Here is a 21,234-nt window from a genome sequence, read left to right as displayed (position 1 = left end):
AGAAACCCCTCCTTTCCTTCGACACATTTTTTTCATATTGTTGTGTCAATACTTGGTTATTTACAGCAAGGTGTGTGATGGCAGTACAAATAATTTTTTAATGCAGTTAAACCAAAATTTATTTATATTTGGCCTGATAATTTATTATTTTATTATTTGCTTATAGAAAATTAATTTTTCCAGTTATCTTTTGTTTATGCTGTTAATAAAATTAATTTTATTACTCAGCAATGCCATCGCAGAATTGAAGAAATTGGAAGAAATAACCCAAGAATGTGCTTCCTTATAAGGGGAAGACAATTTAAATTTTAAAAAATATATAATATCATGAATGTTAAGAACTGGCCTATAAACATATCTCTTGGTTGGAGTTATAGCAAGAAATGTGGTCAAACTAAAGTCTGGATGTAGGCTGTGAAAGTCCACATTACTTTTCTATTTGTACTATTCATATGTTTTCTCAGGTCATTCAACTGGTGGGGTTGCTTTTCTGCTTGCTGTTATAATCCTTCTTTGTTGGGGACCTCTAAACACATGTCTTTTACTTAATTCATTAATTTGTTTCTTTGTCCCTGCCTTTTGAAGCAAGTGAACAGTATAGGGAAGAGGAAGGCTTTAGGTCCAGATGCCCAAGACTCGTATAAGTGGCTGTCTTGAAACTACTGGTGTCTGTTGACTTCTTTTTTTTTTTTTGAGACAGTCTCATTCTGTCACCCAGGCTGGAGTACAGTGATGCAATCTCGGCAACCTCTGCCTCCTTGGTTCAAACGATTTTCATGCCTCATTCTCTCAAGTAGCTGGGATTACAGGAATGTGCCACCACACTTGGCTCATTTTTTTCTATTTTTAGTAGAGACAGGGTTTTGCCATGTTGGCCAGGCTGGTCTCAAACTCCCGGCCTCAAGTGATCTGCCCATCTTGGCCCCACAAAGTGTTGGGATTACAGGCGTGAGCCACCACTCCCAGCCTTCTGTTGACTTCTAATATACTAGTCGCCTATGCCTAGTGGAGATATGAATAGTTCCTAAATTTAAAGGCCTATTAAATATTGCTTTTAACAATTTTAAAAGAGAGAGTTTTTAAAAAATGCCTTCATGTAAGGTAAGGGGGGACTGTTGTATCAAAACTGAAAGGTTACAATTTGTTAGACTGAATTCTAGGGATGCTGTATCTGATGGTAGGTAACATCTACAATCTAAACAGTTTAGGACCTGTGTTTTATGTTTTATGGAAAGTCCTTCTTTTCTCTCTACCTAATTTCATTTAGCATCTTTATCAATATTAATGTTTACATTTGAATACATGCCCAACAGTATGATTTCTATAAGCAGAAATTGTGTCATGGCCTACCTTTATGTAAATCAGTTCTGAGGTAATTTAGTTGACTTCATATCACCCTTTCTCCTCCACAAAGTTCTCTTTCAGTTTTGTCCAAATCAATATAAAATTTATTTCGTAAGACTTAGTCCTAGGAGCCAGATTGAAATTTGTTCACTTGCAAGTTTGAAGGTACTAAGCTAAGATAAGGATATCCAAAAAGGATGTTTAACTCCACCAAAGCCTTACAAGGGCCGAATGGGATAAAATTTAGAATGAATGGAAATCTCATCTATCTTCTGTTTTACATGTTTTTGCTCCTAGAAAGCTACCCTGGTTGACCATGGGATCCGGCGCCTTACTTTCCTGGTTGCACAAAAGGTACTGACATGTGAATTGTACCTCTTTAATATTTCTTATGCTGCTGCTACAACTTAATAAAAATGGGATTGTAATCTTATACTTACTAATAGGATTTATGCAGAGAAATAACCACTTTTCTGTAAGTTTCATTTTTAAAAAACATTAGTTTAACTCATCATCTTTTACTCAATTTCTTTTTGATTTTGTTACTAATTGCCAACTTCTGCTGTCTTTCCTTCCTTTCTCTCTTTTATTTGAAAGGATTTCAGAAAGCAGGTCAACTATGAGGTGGATCGGAGATTTCATGTAAGTAAAATGAACAATAATGAAAGATTACTTACTGTTTTATTTGTCTGCCACTGATTATTTAACCAGAATATATGTTAGAAGGGCTGGACTGATATTTGATCCTTCTTCTTTTAGAAATTATTATAATAAATATTCAGTTCTCTGTAATCCCAGCACTTTGGGAGGCTGAGTCAGGAAAATTGCTTGAGCCCACAAGTTTGAGATGAGCCTGGGCAACATAATGAGACCCAGTCCTCTATTAATTAAAAAAAAATTTTTTTTAATTCTTATATCAAGTGTTCCAGCTAAAGGTTTTCTTCTTTTTTTTTTTAACCCTATAATGAATTCTCAATATATCTCTGAGAAATAGTTAAGAATGAACATAAGCATTTATCCAGATAAATAAGGTAGAAACAAGCTAACTAGTAATTTCTTCTGTGCTTATAGTGAATCAATAATCAAGGACAGCCAGTTGCATTTTGTGGTCTTGGATTCTTTATTGAGAAGTCTCAATTCTAAAGAACAATGATTTATTATTTAAAATGCCTTGATAGAGCCAAGTTGCTATTTTTTGTCTTATGTTAATCGTAGGAACAGGAAATAAGTAAAAATTAAACACTCTGTTGCTTATTCTCCCATTTAACTGAATTAACTGTTAATATTTATGAGATTAAAATTTTTATTGAAAAGAGAATTAAGTTAATAGCCTGGCATCCAAACTATGGTATACCCGTATGATCATACCCAGTACAGTGACAACAGTAAGGCCAGAAATCCAGTTTGGAATCAATATGTTGTTTTCAAAATGACTGATTATAATCAAAATATTTCATAAAAATTGATTCTAATGTAGCTAACTAAGATTCTAGAGGATGTTAAGAAGTCTTTTTTTTCTTTTCTTTCTTTTTTTTTTTTTTGAGAGAGTGTCTTGCTTAGTCGCCCAGGCTGGAGTGCAGTGGCGCAATCTCAGCTCACTGCAACCTCCGCCTCCTGGGTTGCAGCAATTCTCCTGCCTCAGCCTCCCAAGTAGCTGGGATTGCAGGCATGTGCCACCACACCCAGCTGATTTTTGTATTTTTAGTAGAGACAGGGGTTCACCATGTTAGCCAGGCTGGTCTCGAACTCCTGACCTCAGGTGATCTGCCCGCCTCAGCCTCCCAAAGTGCTGAGATTACAGGCATGAGCCACTGTGCCCAGCCTGTTTGGTTTGGTTTTAGCAATTAAGATAATTTGGTTGTTAAGCCTTGCTTGTTTGCAACAATGAAGATGGCACTTGAGATTCTGGAAAGGACTTTCTAAACTCAAGGACCTATGTGTGATTGCTTTTATTACCTTTTTGTTTATTAGGTTTTCAAGACTTGACATTTTGTTTTCCTTCATACAGTTCACCTTGTTGGTCTAGTCTATAGAGAAACAAGAGAGCTAAGATTTTCTGAAATGCTTTAGGAAATGTTGTGGACTGCATGACTCCCCTGTGTTATTGATGTCAGGAAATCAAGCAGAGTGTAGATATATGTCAATCAATAACTTTAGATAGGAAACGGAGTCAGTGGAGAAGTATGAGGAGCTTAAAAAGAACCCTAGGGCTTTAGGAAGAAAAATCAGGAGCTTAGAGAATAAAATTGATACTTTGGGATAGAATATGAAAGCCCATGGATAAACACTGTGGCTGGTAGATGCTGATCAGAACTAAGGTAGACATGCCAGAGCCAGGCCCTGGATTTTAGAAGAGTATTGTGCTAGGTTCTTAAATGTTACTGTGCTTTTTATCACCGACTTTAGAATAACAGCATATTCTAGGGAATAACACTAAATTTGTAAAATTGTTTTCCTTTTTGCTAATGGATTAGATGGAATCTTCACATCTATAGCACACTAACTGGTTTCTATAATAAATACACTGATCAACTAAAACTGTTCACTAAAATTTTTAGCAAACCAAAGTGATTAGTTCTCACTGACATTTTCTCATATATGTAACACATAAAAAAACCCTTTCTTATCTCTGAATCTATAGTGTATAGTTATAAATATGCCCTAGTATTAAGAGTATACTTAACAGCTTTAAAACATTTTTTTCTCTCTGCTGTCCTGATATTTCTGGATCTAGGTTTAATAGGGACATGTATAGGCAAAATCGGCTAGAAAATGAGGCCAGCAGGGGGTCTTCCGTGACAATCATTGTCTGATTCCTATTTATAGTGGCATCAAGTGGGAAATCACTTAAATTATCAAGTGACTTGATTTGTCATGAGTGTAGGAAAAGCTGCTTTAGAGCATAGAGAACATTAAGGTTTAAGTGAGGACTGCATTTGCTCTGAAGAATTGAATGGCAGAGGAGTTGGGGTGTTTTTATGTTAGTCCCTTTAAAAATGATAAGTGATTTTGCAAGGTGCAAGGGCAACTATTAAACCGAACTCCATCCAGAATCTATTATACAATCCAGGATCTACACTAGCCAGGAAGCGTTGGCAGAAACTGTACAAATCTGGGGGTCACTGTCGTGGTGCTGCTGTGAGTTCTTTTGCTGATGGTAGCTTGACATTCATGAAGGATGCTTATTTAGCCTCTGTCATGTCATCTGATTGTGCTTGCCCCATAGTTAGTGTACTGTGAAAAAGAGGAAGCTTTCTGGGAGTGTCAGAGATGAATCCCTTGATCTCTCTGGCTTCTTGATAATCCACTGTGATGTATGCAGCCTCCCCTGTCCAATGCTGTGGAATCCCTATATTATTGAATGGAAGAGAGAATTTGCACTTGAGGGAGCAAGGAGAGGAGGAAGTTTACCAAGTTTGATTCAAGCACATTGGTTAGTGGAATAAAGCAAGCTGTGCTGTTATATAGTTGTTGGTCTTTCAAATTGCCTCAGAACCAGAATAAGACAAATGAGGGCCAGAGTAGAGGTTGCTAGAGAGCTGTGTATATTGTTAGGTACTGATTTGGATGACAGTGATTGCTATAAGCATTTACAATACTTCGTAGTTTAGCCACAGTTGTCCCAGATAGCTGCCCACAGCTTTAAAACATTTTTAGGGTGTCTGTTGCCACCCTAGTCCGTTGACACTGCATGGAGATTATTTCTGTGACAGCAGTCTTCACCAGTGTTAAGGAGGCTGGGAGTTGACTCTGTTTCCATAACCATCTAATTAAATCAAGTGCCCATAATGGAATTTGAATAACTGCCTAACTTTGATATTTAAACAGAAACTTTGAGGAAAAACAAGTCTCTTTTTGTAAATATATTCTACTTGTTAAGAAAAAATAAAGTAGATCATGATGTTCATCTGAAAATAAAAAATAAAAGAAAAAAATGGACAAGATGTTAAAAAAAAGAAAAAAGATCAAAGTCTTGAATGGAAAAGAGGCTTCTTGAATTTCTGCAGCTATCTAAACTGCAACTCCACAGTTTTCTGTTAGTTAAAACTTATTGACTCACTCTGTCTTAGTTTCACTCACATTTTAGGTCTGGAATTCCAAAATATTTAGCAGAAAGTGCTGTCTAATTGGGATATAATATTATGCTTTTTTTTTTTTAAGCTTTCCATATTTTTTTCAGCAAAGTTTGGCTAAGGACATCGGAATACAAATTTTCAGGACTTCTTCTTATCCCCCATTAAGTCCTAAAACCATGATAAGATTCTAAATCAAACAGTTTTACATCTGTTAATAAAATGTTACCTTTTGTTCTTGTAAAATTTCATGAGATTTAAAAAAAAGGTCTACATATCTCCCGAGAGAGAGTTGTTGTTTTATGACTATTGTGTGATTCCCACTTTAAAATGAAATGTTTTGGATTATTTGGACCTTGAAGGAAGAGCTCACTATATGAGCAGTTATCATAATTAGTAGTTCTTTTTTTCTTTTTTTTTTTAAGATAGTTCTGTTTGGTAGTGGACCAACTATTAGTTTTCAGAAGGGTTGGTTTGGATTTTTGTTTTAATTACAGTCTATATAATTAGTTCTCAGCATGTTGAGGTAAAAGAGAATTGTACCAGCAAGCTCCCAATTTCTTCATCTCATTAGGTTTTTAACACGATTATTAGTATCATAATCAGCTATGATGTTTTTTGTTGCAGGTTTTCACATTCTCTGATTTGCGGGGTGTCTTGATTGGCTAATTTGGGCAAATTATTTTGATTGTCTTGATGATGGTTGGCTGATTAGAACACAGCAAGGGCATAATTTCTTCCTGTGAAACGTTGCATTCTTTTGTTTTTTGGTACCAGAATACTAAGAGGGTTTTTCTTTGTGTACATTCAATTATGATATTTGCCCATGACACTAGTAGAATACTTGGAAAGCAAATACATTGATGATGGAATAAGCATGAATGCTTTCAGTGGAAAAACTGGCAGTATGAGGATGAGATAGGATAAAAGAATTTACTAAAACTGTAGGATCAGACTTTTAGATTTCTTCTTTTCTGTGTTTTCTGTGATTCTGTGGTTTTTGAGTGCCAAAAGAGATTACTTTTTGTAAGAGTCTTCAGACTTCCATGTCACTGAAGAATTGCTTAGTAGTTCCACTTTTCCATTGCACAGAGGTTCTTGCCATCTCTTGTTCTGAATGTTTAATACTTAAATTGAGGATTTTACCGGGGAGTTACAAATTTACTCAGAAGTTTAAAAAAAAAAAGTTGTTTATATGATCTCATGACAACTTTTCTTAGCTAACCTTAATGAAAGTGGTTTTTCTAATTGGTAGTCATTGCCCACCTCTGCCAAGAATTAGTCAGTTTCTTCATTATTTGTATTAAAGGCATTTCCATTCAAACTGCTTTATATGCCTTTCAGTTACTACAAATTTTCTTAATTGGTTTAGTGGAAAAGAAAGCATTTTTTATTACTGTTTTGTTTTTGAAAGGAAATGGTTTTGATCCTATAAATGTACATAATTAAATAAATGGCATCCTAAACAAACATTTTAATTAATTAGCTAATAATAGTTAAGGCGGAATAGAAAAGTGTGTGCGTAAAATATCATATTATCACTTTCCTTGACTTTTCTTTCAGAGAGTTCCATGGAAAGATTTTGTCATTCTTCCTTTTTTGACATTTGTTACTTTTTAGGTAATGCTCTGAAAGCTGTACCTCACTAGAATAAAACCAAAACTAGGTTATATAAAACCATGAGCATGATATTTATCGACACCTCAGCTGAATGCATCTTACTTAACCTTGAAGTCAGTCCTATGTGCTTCACTCTCATAACGGGTGGGGGGGGTGTCAGAGAATTATTTAGAACAAAACTTGAGGAGAAGTTCAGTCCTGTGTAAAATCCACTTTAAAAAGGCTTTTAAAAAAGGATTTCCCTGAGGTTGGTAAATGAGCTCCTAGGAACCTTTTAAATGCAGTCTTACAGTTAAAATACCAAGGAAAAGATAAAAAGATTTATTAACTGTGCAAGCTTTAGTTAAGGTGAGAGTGAGGTGTAACACTTATGGAACGTATTCAAGAAATTTTCAGGAAATTCAAGAACCACAGGTTTACAGCATGAGTTTTGCTTTGTTTGCTTTCTGCTTTTTAAATTTAAAGTCTTAATTTCTGTGTTTTTGTCTCATCAAAGAGAAATCCTCTAAATGAGGAATTTAGATTATAATAAAAAGAGAAAGGTAATACTCTGCCCTTGAGAGATCAGAGGGCATGGGCTCTGGCACTAGAGAGACCCAAGTTTATCTTCCAGCTCTGTGATTCTGAGCATATACTTGAGCCAAGGCTTCTGCAAGATGAGGGTCACAATATCTACCCCTAGAGGTTGTTGAGAGCATCAGATAGGACAACACATGAGAGTACCTGCCACCAGAAGATTTTCAGTCCATGTTTCCTTCACATTTCCTAAAGCTCATTGAGGATGTGTAGGCAGCTAGTCCCGGTCTCTCTGCCTTGTACTGATAAGTGTTTGATTATATTGCACTCATAATGAAGAAGATGCCTAATGAAACCTCCTATAGAGGCAAATAGTAATGATTTGATTCCAGCACTGCCAGTAGAGCTTCCCATCCGAGAAACAGGGGTATTTGGCATTGGTAAGTTAAATTTCAGAAACTAATGAACTCTGCTAATTGAATTCATCTTTGTTAATTAATAAGGTTCTAGTAAATTGGGTTTTTTTTTGTATAATGCCCTACAAAAAAGCAGGAAGACCTAATGATTACAAGTTCACTAGTTCTAACCTTATTCTTTCCTATACATATAGTGGTAGTGACCAAGGTAGAATCTTATATTTTTCTTCATCTTCAAATGTTATCATTTAAACCCTTGACATTATTGACTTGAGAATAAATGTGAAAATCATGGACTGAGCACTCTATACTGTCTGAGTAGTTTATATTTTAAGAGTTTCTTAAAGAGTAACTTGGGAAATCAGTCCATTAACTACTATTGCAGTGACTGTGGCACAAGGGTATATTGGTTTTATTTGCTGGGTTGTGCCAAGAGCAATACCTAGCAAAAAAATTTTTTTCACTTGGGAGATTTAAAAAATTCATACATTTTTTTTCCCCTGGGAGAGGGTAGATACTAAAATTAGGTTTATAATGTGGTGATTCTCAAATTTGGAAATGGGGTCAAAGTGATGGTTATGCGGAGGATCATTCATATATATTTCCTGGACTAAGCTTAGGTAAGAAGCATGTTTTTCTAGAAAACTGTCTTCTAAATGCTTAACTGTTTCTATACTGTTTGTTCTCAAAGAGCCATGTCTATGAACTACTGACACATTTTTCCCCCTTCTTTAATACAGAGAGAATTCCCTAAATTTTTTACATTCCGAGCAAGGGATAAGGTAAGGATTGATTTCTTTCCTATTTAAAAAAAAAAATTACTTTTTCTTAAAAGCCCAAGAGCGGCTTATCTTTGCCATACGTTCTTCTTGCCATTCTTTTTTCTCTTATTGAACTTGTGCTTCCTGTTGCCTTACATGTGTCTTAGAACTAAAGCCAATTCCTTTCTGAAAGGGTTTGGTTTGGGAAACAACCAAATGTATTGAGCTACTCAACGAAGGTGATACCTTTCCAAATCATCCTTGTCCTGTAGAATGATCCTAATGATGTGATATTAAAGGACCATTCTTGTTATCTACAAATAGTTCACTGATACTCAACTCTACTTTATGTGAATTTGTTTTTCAATTTTAAAATACAAAACTTCAGACCATGTTGCTTTCTTCCTGTTACCGGCTTATATATTTGACTCTCTCTCTCCATTCACTCAATTGACATGTATTCCAGAAAAATACTTTAGTTTCACTGAAACATACAGTACATATACAGTAAATACAGTAAAGTTATATACTAATACAACTTTTAAAAAACATATATAAGTAATTATATATCTATGGATATAGTGTTCCAAAGCCAAATATCTCTTTAATTAAAAAATTGTATGATGTTTCTTTGTTGAGTATTTATTATGTCCTTTGTACTTATCATAAGTGAGAAAATTTTTAGATTAGTTGGGTAAGCTCAAAACATTGGCATGTGAAGTAGATATTAATGTGAAGCAGCCTGTAATTAATATAAAAATGAATTATATAAAGACATTAAATGTTGTAGGAGTTCTAAGGAAATTGAGGATTTTTTGTTTGTTTTTCATGTATATCATCACCACTTGTAAAATCATAAATGATGAAAGTTTAGGAATATCATCCTATAAAGTACCTATATAATAGGTACTTTAGTGCCTAATCTTATGTAAGCTGTAGCATTAGCCTTGAATGTAGCTCATTTTTGTTGCTCATTAGCACATCATAGCTTATGTTTCTATTTTCAGGCATCTCTTTTACATTCACATTCATAGTATAATTTTGTAACTGCCTCTTGTGAGCTGTTTTTTCTCTGATTCTTGTACTCAGTTTGAGGAGGATCGTATCTATCGTCATCTGGAGCCTGCTCTGGCTTTCCAGTTAGAGCTGAACCGGATGAGAAATTTTGACCTCACTGCCATTCCATGTGCTAATCACAAGATGCACCTGTATCTCGGGGCAGCCAAGGTGGAAGTGGGCACAGAAGTGACAGACTACAGGTTCTTTGTTCGTGCAATCATCAGGCATTCTGATCTGGTCACCAAGGTGGGTGCTGTACTTTAATGGGATGTTATCCCTGAGGGAAGGGACAGAATAATAGATATGATTCAAAATTAGGTATTATGCTTCTGCTGAGAGAGAACATAAAAAAAAGATCAGGTTTTCATTTTTTGAATCAAGGTTCTTGTTCTATTTCAATGTTTACAAAAGTAAATATTTCATATAATAAAGGCTTTTTTTTTTTTACAAAGCAGAAAGTGCATCTGAAAAAAAATAAAAAATGAAGGCTCTTTTTCCACTTTAATTTGATTTTTCTTGGTAGCAGAAGCATAATAACACTCAAGAAAAGAAAAAGCATACAAACAGAAAAATCACAGGAAGAATTGGGTGATGGTAGAGCATAAGGAGATAAGTTAGGAAAGAGGTGATCCCATTGTACACCTGTCTAGAAGTATGGGTAGTGTCTGTATATAGCAAGGCACTTCCTGATGTGTTCATTATTATTATATCCCATAGCCGTACCCTTTCTTCAGCTTTTCCTTTCTAAATAGCTCTGTTTGGCATATGTGAAATATCATCCTATTGAACTTACAGCTATGGGGATGCCCAGTATTTCTACCTCTTGGAAGGGAATGATGCACTAAAAGTAAGGAGGAAGGGCTGACATGGACTCTTTATCTGGCCCTTTCCTGCCCCTGCTCCCTGTGGTTACTGGACTGACTCTAGGGAGAAAGATAAACAATCTCTTCACCAAGTGCCTTATGATTCATGATATACTGCTGCTTAAGTGATTATAATAGCCATTTCTTTATTGCCTCTTTTAAACTACATTAATGTTGATTATTTTCTTCCTGTATAGGAAGCTTCTTTTGAATATCTGCAAAATGAAGGGGAGCGGCTACTCCTGGAAGCCATGGATGAGTTGGAAGTTGCTTTTAACAATACAAATGTCCGCACTGACTGTAACCACATCTTCCTCAACTTTGTGCCCACGGTTATCATGGACCCATCAAAGGTACATTTCTCCTTAGCTTCTCTCCCAGCACTAGCAAGCATAAGCACAGAAGTTCATTCATATTTATCTCACTTGGACTTGGAAACAGGTACTCCTTGTTCAGGCTGTTGAGCCCTTAATCTGTAAAGTTTATAGAATGTTTATAAGATTGAGTTTCTGGGACAGTGTCAAAAATTTGATATAGCCATTGAAAAAACAGTTCTCAAAACTGAAGGTTTTGGTGTTAGCTTGCTGGTCACTTATAAGCAGTACAAAAACATGAAAACATTTTCTTTTGTTGGTACCTATTTTATATTTGCCATAATAGTGGTCCTGTTTTGTATTATTCCCTACTATTTCTCATCTGGAATTATTAATTTTACTGTTACTAAGCATTTTGGCTAAATTACTGCTTCTGTGCACTAAATGTTAATCACCTGGTGGCCTTAGTGAGATAATGCACCTTCTCAAAGTGTCTAACCTATCTCTCTTTAGTGTTTTTCCACAGGGAGAGAATTTGGCTGATAAGGAATTTCTCATGTATTATGTATATTTTCTTCCCTGAGGGTCTATTCTGAAATGCATTCTATATAATTTAAGGAAGAAAAACAAGGTGATTTTGTACTTGACCTTTTATCCCAAGTGTAATAAAGACAGGCTGCTCTCTGTTTCTGCTCCCTCTAACGCTTTCTTTCTTTCTTTTTTTTTTTGTTGAGACAGAGTCTCGCTCTGTTGCCCAGGCTGAAGCAGTGGCACCATCTCAGCTCATTGCAACCTCCACCTCCCAGGTTCAAGAGACTGTCATGCTTCAGCCTCCCCGAGTAGCAGGGACTATAGGCATGTGCCACCACGCCCGGCTAATTTTTGTATTTTTAGTAGAAACGGGGTTTCACCATGTTAGTCAGGCTGGTCTCCAACTCCTGACCTCAAGTAATCTGCCTGCCTCAGCCTCCCAAAGTGCTGGGATTACAGGTGTGAGCCACCGTGCCTGGCCCCTTCTAACTCTTTCTATCATGATACTGTGGAATTTGGATAGGAGAACCAGTATCTCCCTTTTTCAAGATCAGCTGTAGGCATGAATTTTTGCTGCTGCTGCTGCTTTTTTTTTTTTCTTTTTCTTTTTTTTCTTACAGAAACAGGGTCTTGCTATGTTGCCCAGGCTAGTCTTGAACTCCTGGCCTCAAGCGATCCTCCTGCCTCAGACTCCCAAAGTGCTGGGATTACAGGCATGAGTCATCATGCCTGGTAGACTTTTGCTTCTTGAACTTAGTATCTGAGATCTGAGAAGTAGTTTTCTACCTTTTTCCCTTAAAAATTCCAAGCTAATGATGGGTTGCTTTAGTTTGTAAGGAACGCCAAGGACAGGGCTACTCATTTGACTCAAATCTCATCATCTAGTTTAAGCAAAACTTCTCCTAAGCATTCTGGGACTAATAAGCTGGGAAACTTAAAACATGGCATGGACACTGTACAGCTGTATTTTTTTTTAGATTTGGCTTACCTTTTCTCTGAGTTTTTCAGATCAGCCTCTGCTTTCATTCTAACCACCCATATACACTGGCTCTGCTTTTCTAATGATAGATAGCTGCCAATTTTCTGTACATAAAGATTGTTGGCTTTTGTTCCCTCAAGAAAAGAATGGGTAAATATCTCTTGGTTAACAAGCAAGTATGATAATAGAGAGGTTAACTCCCTGAAATTCATTCTAACTTAAAATTTTGTGGTGCAGAAACAAACTGCAAGGGTGGCACATGCTACTAAAGAACCACAAGAGAAAGGGAATGTAAGATATTCTTGAGATTTTCTAAGAAGTTGAGGAAGCATTTTAGAAAGATACTTCATTTAAGGATACATTAAGTTCGAATAGCATGTTCTAGCTGCATTATGTTCTGTGCAGCCATGTTGGGGAAAAAAAGTTTTGCTTTAGCATGTAAATAACAAGAAATCATGTCTAAGGCCATTTAGTTAAAATAACTGTCCTACCCCTAAAAACTAAGAGCATTAAGCTGCCTTGGTATAAACTTAGAGAAATGTGGGAACATCTGCCCCATCTTATTAAATCCTAGGTGGACTTAGCAGTGGCCAAGCTTCAGAGCTCTGTTTAGAGAGAATGTTCTAGCACCACCTACAAATTGCCTTTCTTTAATTTGTGCAATTTACCAAGAGACATATATTATAAAGTTTAATAAAACTGTATGAAAAAAAGCTCATGGTGGTAATTGCTGTGTTGATTTAAAGTCCTGTAAGTGCAGTGAAACATAGTTACCATGCATATAAATGCTACTTAATAGCTATTTAACTAGAGATTTTATTCTTATTTGGGGCTTCCTCTTAAATCCCATGGCTTGTAATTTTAGATACTGCAGATCTTTGATATAGAATATGAATATAATTGGGAAAGGGGAAGGAGTTGCAGAGATTTGGGTGTTATTATCGAGAGAAAACCACTCAAATGCCAGGCCAGCATGAAATTGTCCCTGACTTGTTCCAAGAAAGAATAGTTTGGGGAGAAACTATCTGACCACTTTTTGTAAGGTGTGCATCTCCACAAACCAACCTCTTTTTTTTTTTACCCCTTCTTTCTCAAATATGAGCAGACCTGAAACAGGTCTTAGTTAGAAGATATTTAAGTTTTGTGCTTGGTGATGTGTCTGTGTCAGATTGAGGAATCCGTGCGGAGCATGGTAATGCGGTATGGAAGTCGCCTGTGGAAATTGCGCGTCCTCCAGGCAGAACTGAAAATCAACATTCGCCTGACGCCAACTGGAAAAGCAATTCCCATCCGCCTCTTCCTGACAAACGAGTCTGGCTATTACTTGGATATCAGCCTATACAAGGAAGTGACTGACTCCAGGACAGCACAGGTACAATACTCAAACAGGCTCCTCAGAGTTTTGATTTGGTCCTACAGATAAGACACTCGTCCTTGTTATAGAAGACCCACACTCACAAATCCCATTGGTTCACCTGGTGGGATTATCCTCTATAAGATTAAATGATTGTATGAATTTGAAAAACTTCATCTGCCTTATAAGATTTGCCTATGTTCTCTATCATGGATGTTATAAAACCCTTAACCATTTGTCATGTATTGGTAAGCACTAACAGATGCCAAGTGAACCTGACTCCAGAGGTTATTCTGCAATTTAGGCTCTTTTTTTAGAGGGCTCGTGGGTTATTTCAGCAATCTAATCTCTGGTCTGATGCGTCCTTTCCGTTTTCACCATAATTAAACTACTCATTGGCAAGTGAGGAAAAGAGAATTGTTGGATTTATGTCACCAACTTCTATGTTAAAGAAGGAAAATTTCAACATAGTATAGTGGCATGAGCACTACCATCATCAGTGTCTATCATATTTATCTATTGTGTTCTGTTTCTGTTTTTATCATATTTATTGTGTTATCTATTATGTTGTTCCCTTTCCTTCAAAGATTTCAGGGTGTCATATATTATACAAGAGCAAAGTGGCAAATTTAAACCCGTTTTCAGGTAGGAAAACTGAGAATGTAAAAATAGAAAGTGAGTCAGTACACTAATTCTGTGAAACAGAGAATTCCCTTTTAATCTTTTTTACTACGTTGGTTTCTAAATATTTGGGCTCTTTACTATGATACTGAAATTAGGTTGGTTCACCATTGTTCACATTTTTGAAGAACTAGGATATTTTATGGCTTTGGCCTGAATTCAAGAATTGCATTTCTTCTGATTAAAGGATGAACCTGCTCCAGTATACATAAACAAGGGTTTCAGTCTATTCCGTGCTTTGGGTGCCAGGGAGAGATTATGTGTCTCTTGTTTTTATCTATATCCTTTTAAATCCAGGAATAGAGTCAGGAAAATATATTTTTCAGTCTTTTGAAGATGAATTTTTAAAAATCTCAGTTTGGACAGTAGTCAGAATGACCTTTCATTTTGTGCTTTGATTCCTAGTGAGGTGGCTAGAGAAATCTATCCTATGAGAAGTGAGCAGTTAAAAACAGAGAGAGAGAGTGCGCAAGAGCGTGAGTGGTGACCAAGAGAAAGAGTGTTCAATATTTTTTGCTGTATTTGATGTTTTTTTAGTGCAACTTTAAAGACATTTTCAGTCAAAGCTTTCAATGGGTAGGGATGTTTTTAATTAACTTCTACAATAGCTTCAAGGCAGGTCTATTCTTGTGAAAAGTAAGATGGCCACTTGAGATTTTAATGTTTTTGATAAATATGTTTGTTCTTCATAACTACTTTCTTTCTTTTTTTTTTTTTCCTTTCCTTTATTAGGAAACTCTGAGATTTCCCTCATGCTAGCTAATGGTGACACAGGAGTGTGAAAGGCACAGATGCCTTCAATCAGGGTTTAGTATTACACATGGTACAAAATAAGCACACAATAAGCATCTGAAAGAATGAACAAACCACCTTCAACCTGAAGGAAAACGCTTTTTACCTAGGGTCCTGCATATTTTAAAAGCCCTGAAGGAAGAGGTCTTCTACAGACTCTTCACTTGAGAGAGTTCAAGAGCTACTGCCATATGGGAACTAACTTTTGAGCCTGTGGCTAGACGTGGGAACTGACAAAAGGAGCAGCCTCCAACCCAGTTCTGGTGCTCCTAATGCCTACATGGTGCTTATTGTCAAACTGTTTTTCCCTTTCTTTAATGAATCATTGTATGAAGTTAATACAGAACCATGTCTGTTATTCGTTCATTTGTTTTTTAATTTAATATTGATTGACTACTTATAGTATGTCAGGCACTATGCGTATAAAGAGAAAAAGCAAACTGTACTCAAGAAATTTACATCACAATGGAAGAAGACAAATGATTTGTTTCTCTGTGGCAAATATGTGCTATTATAAATAAATACAGTGTTCTAAGGGAGCAGACTATGGGTCAGAAATTATTTTCTAAAATAATTTTGATGGCTTCTGGTGAAAGGTGTGTGATATATAAAATGTGTACATATTTTCATGAACTTCTAAAACATATACTTTACAGTTTTTAGTTACTGCGTTCATTATAGTAGAAAATGGAACTAACATAGATAGTTGAGTATTCAGGAACTCCTATTACTATCAGCCTCTTGCCCTAGCACATCATTTATTCATTCTGCCAATAAGGAACAAGGTTGATTGGCTTGAGTTTTATTTTTCATTTTCCTTGTACAGTCTTTGTAGTATAGGCTGTAATGAACACTGATGTCAGGCAGTCATAATGGGGAGAAGAGATTTGGGTAATCCATTGCATAAGTGAATTGATTTCCAATGTGCAGTGTAAGAGAAAAATAACATTTTAGGCTGGGCGCAGTGACTCACGCCTGTAATCCCAGCACTTTGGGAGGCCAAGGCAGATGGATCACCTGAGGTCAGGAGTTCGAGACCAGCCTGACCAACAAGGTGAAAGCCTGTCTCTACTAAAAATACAAAAATTAGCCGGGAGTGGTGGCAGGGGCCTGTAGTCCCAGCTACTCAGGAGGCTGAGACAGGAGAATTGCTAGAACCCGGGAGGCGGAGGTTGTAGTGAGCTGAGATCGTGCCACTGTGCTCTAACCTGGGCAATGGAGCAAGAATCCGTCTCAAAAAAAAGAAAAATAACATTTTAAAATCATCTTTGGGCTGGGCATGGTGGCTCATACCTGTAATCCCAGCACTTTGGGAGACCAAGGTGGGAGGATCACATGAGCCCAGGAGTTTGACACTAGCCAGCTCAACAAGGCAAGACCCTGTCTCTACCAAAAAAAAAAAAAAAAAAAAAAAAAAAAGAAATAGCCAGGCATGGTGTCATGCACCTGTAGTACCAACTACTCAGGAGGCTGAGGCAGAAGTATCACTTGGGCCCCGGAGTTTGAGGCTGCAATGAGCTATGATTGTGACACCACACTCCAGCCTGGGCGAGAGAGTGAGACACTGCCTCTAAAAATAATAAATAACACCTTTATTGAAGTGCAATTTACTTATAATAAAATGGACTCGTTTTGTGTGTGCAGTTCAATTCATTCTGTCAAATGTATACACCGTGTAAGTACTATCACAGTTGTGGTAGATACATCACTGCAGAAAGTTCTCTTATTCGCCTTTGCAGTCAAAGGTAGAAGCACCAACCCCGGCCTTAGGCAACCACTGATCTGCTTTCTGTTACTATAGATTAGTTTTGCCTATCCTAGAATTTAAATCAAACAGTGTGTACTATTTTGTGTCTAGCTTATTTTACTCAGCATAATGTTTTTGAGGTTCAGCCATGTTGCATAGATTATGTGTATGTTCCTTTTCATTTTTGGATAGTATTCCGTTTCATGGATTTTTTTTTTTTTTTTTTGAGACAGGGTCTCACTATCTTGCCCAAGCTAGAGTGCAATATTGTAATCATAGCTGACCACAGCCTCGACCTCCTTGGCTCAAGCAGTCCTTCCACCTCAGCCTCCTAAGTAGCTGGGACTAAAGGCGTCTACCACCATGCCCAGCTAGTTTTTAAATTTTTTTAGAGACAGGGTCCCACAATGTTGCCCAGGCTTGTCTCAAACTCCTGGATTCATGGGACCCTCCCACCTTGGCCTCCCAAAGTGCTGGGATTACAGGTGTAAGCTGCCATGCCCAGCCCCATTTAATGGATTTATCGAAATTTTTACATTCATTTATCAAAATGTTTATATTCACAGATATGTTTTGGCAGGTAAGGTGACTAACTGGGAGCTCTGACATGTTCCAAGGAAACAAGGCTTTCCAGAGTTTCCATCAGATATAGCTTTGACTAGCAAGGGGCACCCCCAAAGGGCAGGCAATATCTTGACACTGTTTTCATTTCTATTTCATTTGGGGATGGGTGACTGCCAACTCAGATATTAGATGGTTCTTTATGAATTAATGGGAGGAATGATGAGAATAGAAGTCTCTATTGAGTAGGAGAGAGTAAACTAAGACCACATGCTTGTGATGATAGTTTACAACGATTTGTGTGAGGAGTTACATGTATATTTCCTAAGTCCATATTCAAATTATGGATATTAAAAAAGACTGGCTGGGCATGGTGGCTCACACCTGTAATCCCAGCACTTTGGGAGGCCGAGGTGGGCAAATCAGCTGAGGTTAGGAGTTTGAGACCAGTCTGACCAATATGGAGAAACTCCATCTCTACTAAAAATACAAAATTAGCTGGGCGTGGTGGCGCATGCCTGTAATCCCAGCTACTCGGGAGGCTGAGACAGGAGAATTACTTGAACCCAGGAGGCAGAGGTTGTGGTGAGCCGAGATCGCACCATTGCACTCCAGCCTGGGCAACAAGAGTGAAACTCCGTCTCCAAAAAAAAAAAAAAAAAAAAGGACTGAAACTCTAGTTCTCATTTTCTTTTCTTTCTTTCTTTTTTTTTTTTCCTTTTGAGATGGAGTCTCACTCTGACGCCCAGGCTGGAGTGCAGTAGCACGATCTCGGCTCACTGCAACACTGCAAGTTCTACCTCCCGGGTTCACACCATTCTCCTGCCTCAGCCTTTTTTTTGTATTTTTAGTAGAGACGGGGTTTCACCGTGTTAGCCAGGATGGTCTCGATCTCCTGACCTCGTGATCTGCCTGCTTTGGCCTCCCAAAGCGCTGGGATTGCAGGCGTGAGCCACTGCGCCCGGCCCTCTAGTTCTCATTGTCTAATTTTCCAAGATAACCTGTTGATGGACATTTGGGGTTTTATTTCCTAGTTTGAGCTATTAGTAGTAATAAAGCTGCTGTGAACATTCATTTACAAATCTTTGTGTAGATATATTTTTATTTCCTTTGGGTAAATACGTAAAAGTGTAATTGCTGGGACACAGTAAGCATATGCTTAACTTTATAAGATATTGACAAACTGCCAAAATATTTGTACCATTTAAATTTCTGCCAGCAATATACATATGTAGCTAGATTGTTTTCTCCAATCCCCTTCCTCAGTGCACAATTATGTTGCTTAACTATGACCAGCCTGTCTTCATCACAAAGCTTGGCCAAACCGAGTCTCAAGGTCTTGTCTCTCTTAACAGACGAGAAATGTAGTTCTAGGAACCTGCTGCGTTTACCCCATTTTCTTATTTTGATTCAGCTTACTTGCTCTGAGTACAGTTTTCTCATACTGTACCCTTGCCTTACTTAACACTTTGAATCTCTTAAAACATTATTGCTTTTACTGACACATTCCTAAGACATTACTAATTCTGCTTCCCCCCGGGTGACTTTTCCTATTGATCTTGTGGAAGAGGACTGGGAGCTCCAATCTCTGGGTCTTTAAAACAGCCTGAGACATGTTTTCCCCAGAACAGGACCTGATTGACAAATTAGCAGAACATTCATTCCTCTGAGCTAAGGGGCTAAGGATTTACAGATGAACTGTACCCACGATTTAGGAAGGTACTTAATTCTATTCCTGTGCATATATATCAGGTCCACAATCTATTCATTAATGGTAGACTTGTGCTTATTTTGTAGGTCTGAATAGATATGTAGGTATACACATACCCTTACATCCCAATCTCCATTTGTATTCACTGCACTGGGAATTTATATTTTATGTATCCATGCATGAAGTGCCTAGTTTAGTGTTATACAACCTCTGGGCACTCAATAAATATTAATTGAATTGAAATAATGGCATCCTTTATAAATATTCATAAGCAAATAAAACTATCTAAATATATGGAGTATGAAGCACTCCTCTAGAAATATTTGAGTTAAAATGATTAAAAACCAGTGTAGTGATTTCATTATGTGACAATATAGGTATTGCAGGAGCTATTCACTAGTTGTAGACAGCATCTTGAGGAGAAGTAAATACATGTATATATATATATATGTTTTTTAATATACATAATTTAATATAATATGGTTATTTTACTATATGTAAAATATGAGGCTGTGTCTCATGGGCTAGTGAGAATTAACTATCTAGATGGATGGATGAAATCCACTTCTGGCAGAAATCTTTGAAGCCTTTGCATAGCTAGTAATACTTATGAAGTACCATCTAATCAAGTGGGTTAAAGGACTAAAGCACAGATGATATACTAGAGTCTTGATCTGGCCTTCTGCCATTGAGGAAAGAAGAGAATTATCTTTACTGCATAGCTGTTCTTCAACTTCAATACCAGGGCTGCTCAGACTGGTTAGTTGATGTACTTCATTTCTGAGTATATGAGATTCAACTCACTTTAGATGGCTAGCATGGTCAGTCTGTCTTTGAGATGCGAAATGTGCACCGTGCTTTCTTGTTTATTTCCTTTTTTTTTTTTTTTTTTTTTTTTTTTTGGATACAGAGTCTTGCTCTGTTGCCCAGGCTGGAGTGCAGTGGCGCAATCTTGGCTCACTGCAAGCTCCACCTCCTGGGTTCACGCCATTCTCCTGCCTCAGCCTCCCGAGTAGCTGGGACTACAGGCGCCCACCACCACGCCCAGCTAATGTTTTTGTATTTTCAGTAGAGACAAGGTTTCACCATGTTAGCCAGGATGGTCTCGATCTCCTGACCTCATGATCCTCCCGCCTTGGCCTCCCAAAGTGCTGGGATTACAGGCGTGAGCCACTGCGCCTGGCCTTCTTTCTTGTTGATTTCAACTAATCTAAAAGTGAGAGCAGTTATGGTATATGGCTGGTTATATATATATATTTTTTGGAGTTGGTTAATCTGTGGAGAGGTGAGAGCACCAAGTACCCAGTGTTAAGAGGCATATCTCAGCTACTCAACCTACCAAAAATGTTTTCAAAGAGATAATATTTGTGCAAAAAAAGCCCCTCTAGGCAGCTCTCTGATTTTTTTCTGTCTCTTAACTCCCCATGCCATTTTTTTTTCCTGCAGATCATGTTTCAGGCATATGGAGACAAACAGGGACCACTGCATGGAATGTTAATCAATACTCCATATGTGACCAAAGACCTGCTGCAATCAAAGAGGTTCCAGGCACAATCCTTAGGGACAACATACATATATGATATCCCAGAGATGTTTCGGCAGGTAAGATGCCTAACTGGAGGGTCTGACATGTTCTAAGGAGGCAAGGTTTCCCTGAATTTCCATCAGATGCGGTTTTGGCTAGAAGGGGGCACTCCAAAGGGCAAGAAATATCTTGACACTGTTTTCATTTCTATTTCATTTGAGGATTGGTGACTGCCAACTCAGATATTGGATGGTTCTTTATGAATTAATGAGAGGAATGGTGAGAATAGAAGTCTCTATTGAGTAGGAGACAGGAGAGAGTAAACTAAGGTTATGTTCTTGTGGTGATAGTTTACAGTGACTTGTGTGAAGAGTTACCTGTGTATTT

The 21,234-nt window shown here is 37.4% G+C and overlaps 1 protein-coding gene across 26 annotated transcripts in view; it reads left to right on the top strand.

Annotated features, from left to right (window-relative positions):
- The window catches only part of ACACA (acetyl-CoA carboxylase alpha), a 321,845-nt gene that overhangs the window by 204,712 nt on the left and 95,899 nt on the right, over positions 1-21,234 (top strand). For all 26 annotated transcript variants that reach the window (XM_011524701.2, XM_006721853.2, NM_198834.3 and 23 more), the window contains 7 exons: positions 1,642-1,698; positions 1,942-1,986; positions 8,710-8,751; positions 9,820-10,035; positions 10,850-11,005; positions 13,645-13,848; positions 20,769-20,924. In XM_011524701.2, the coding sequence (XP_011523003.1) occupies positions 1,642-1,698; positions 1,942-1,986; positions 8,710-8,751; positions 9,820-10,035; positions 10,850-11,005; positions 13,645-13,848; positions 20,769-20,924 (876 nt within the window). The remainder of the gene's footprint in view (positions 1-1,641; positions 1,699-1,941; positions 1,987-8,709; positions 8,752-9,819; positions 10,036-10,849; positions 11,006-13,644; positions 13,849-20,768; positions 20,925-21,234) is intronic.

The sequence above is a fragment of the Homo sapiens genome, chromosome 17 (genome assembly GCF_000001405.40).
Source record: "Homo sapiens chromosome 17, GRCh38.p14 Primary Assembly".
Lineage (NCBI taxonomy): Eukaryota > Metazoa > Chordata > Mammalia > Primates > Hominidae > Homo > Homo sapiens.
This window is presented reverse-complemented; position numbering and strand designations above follow the sequence as displayed.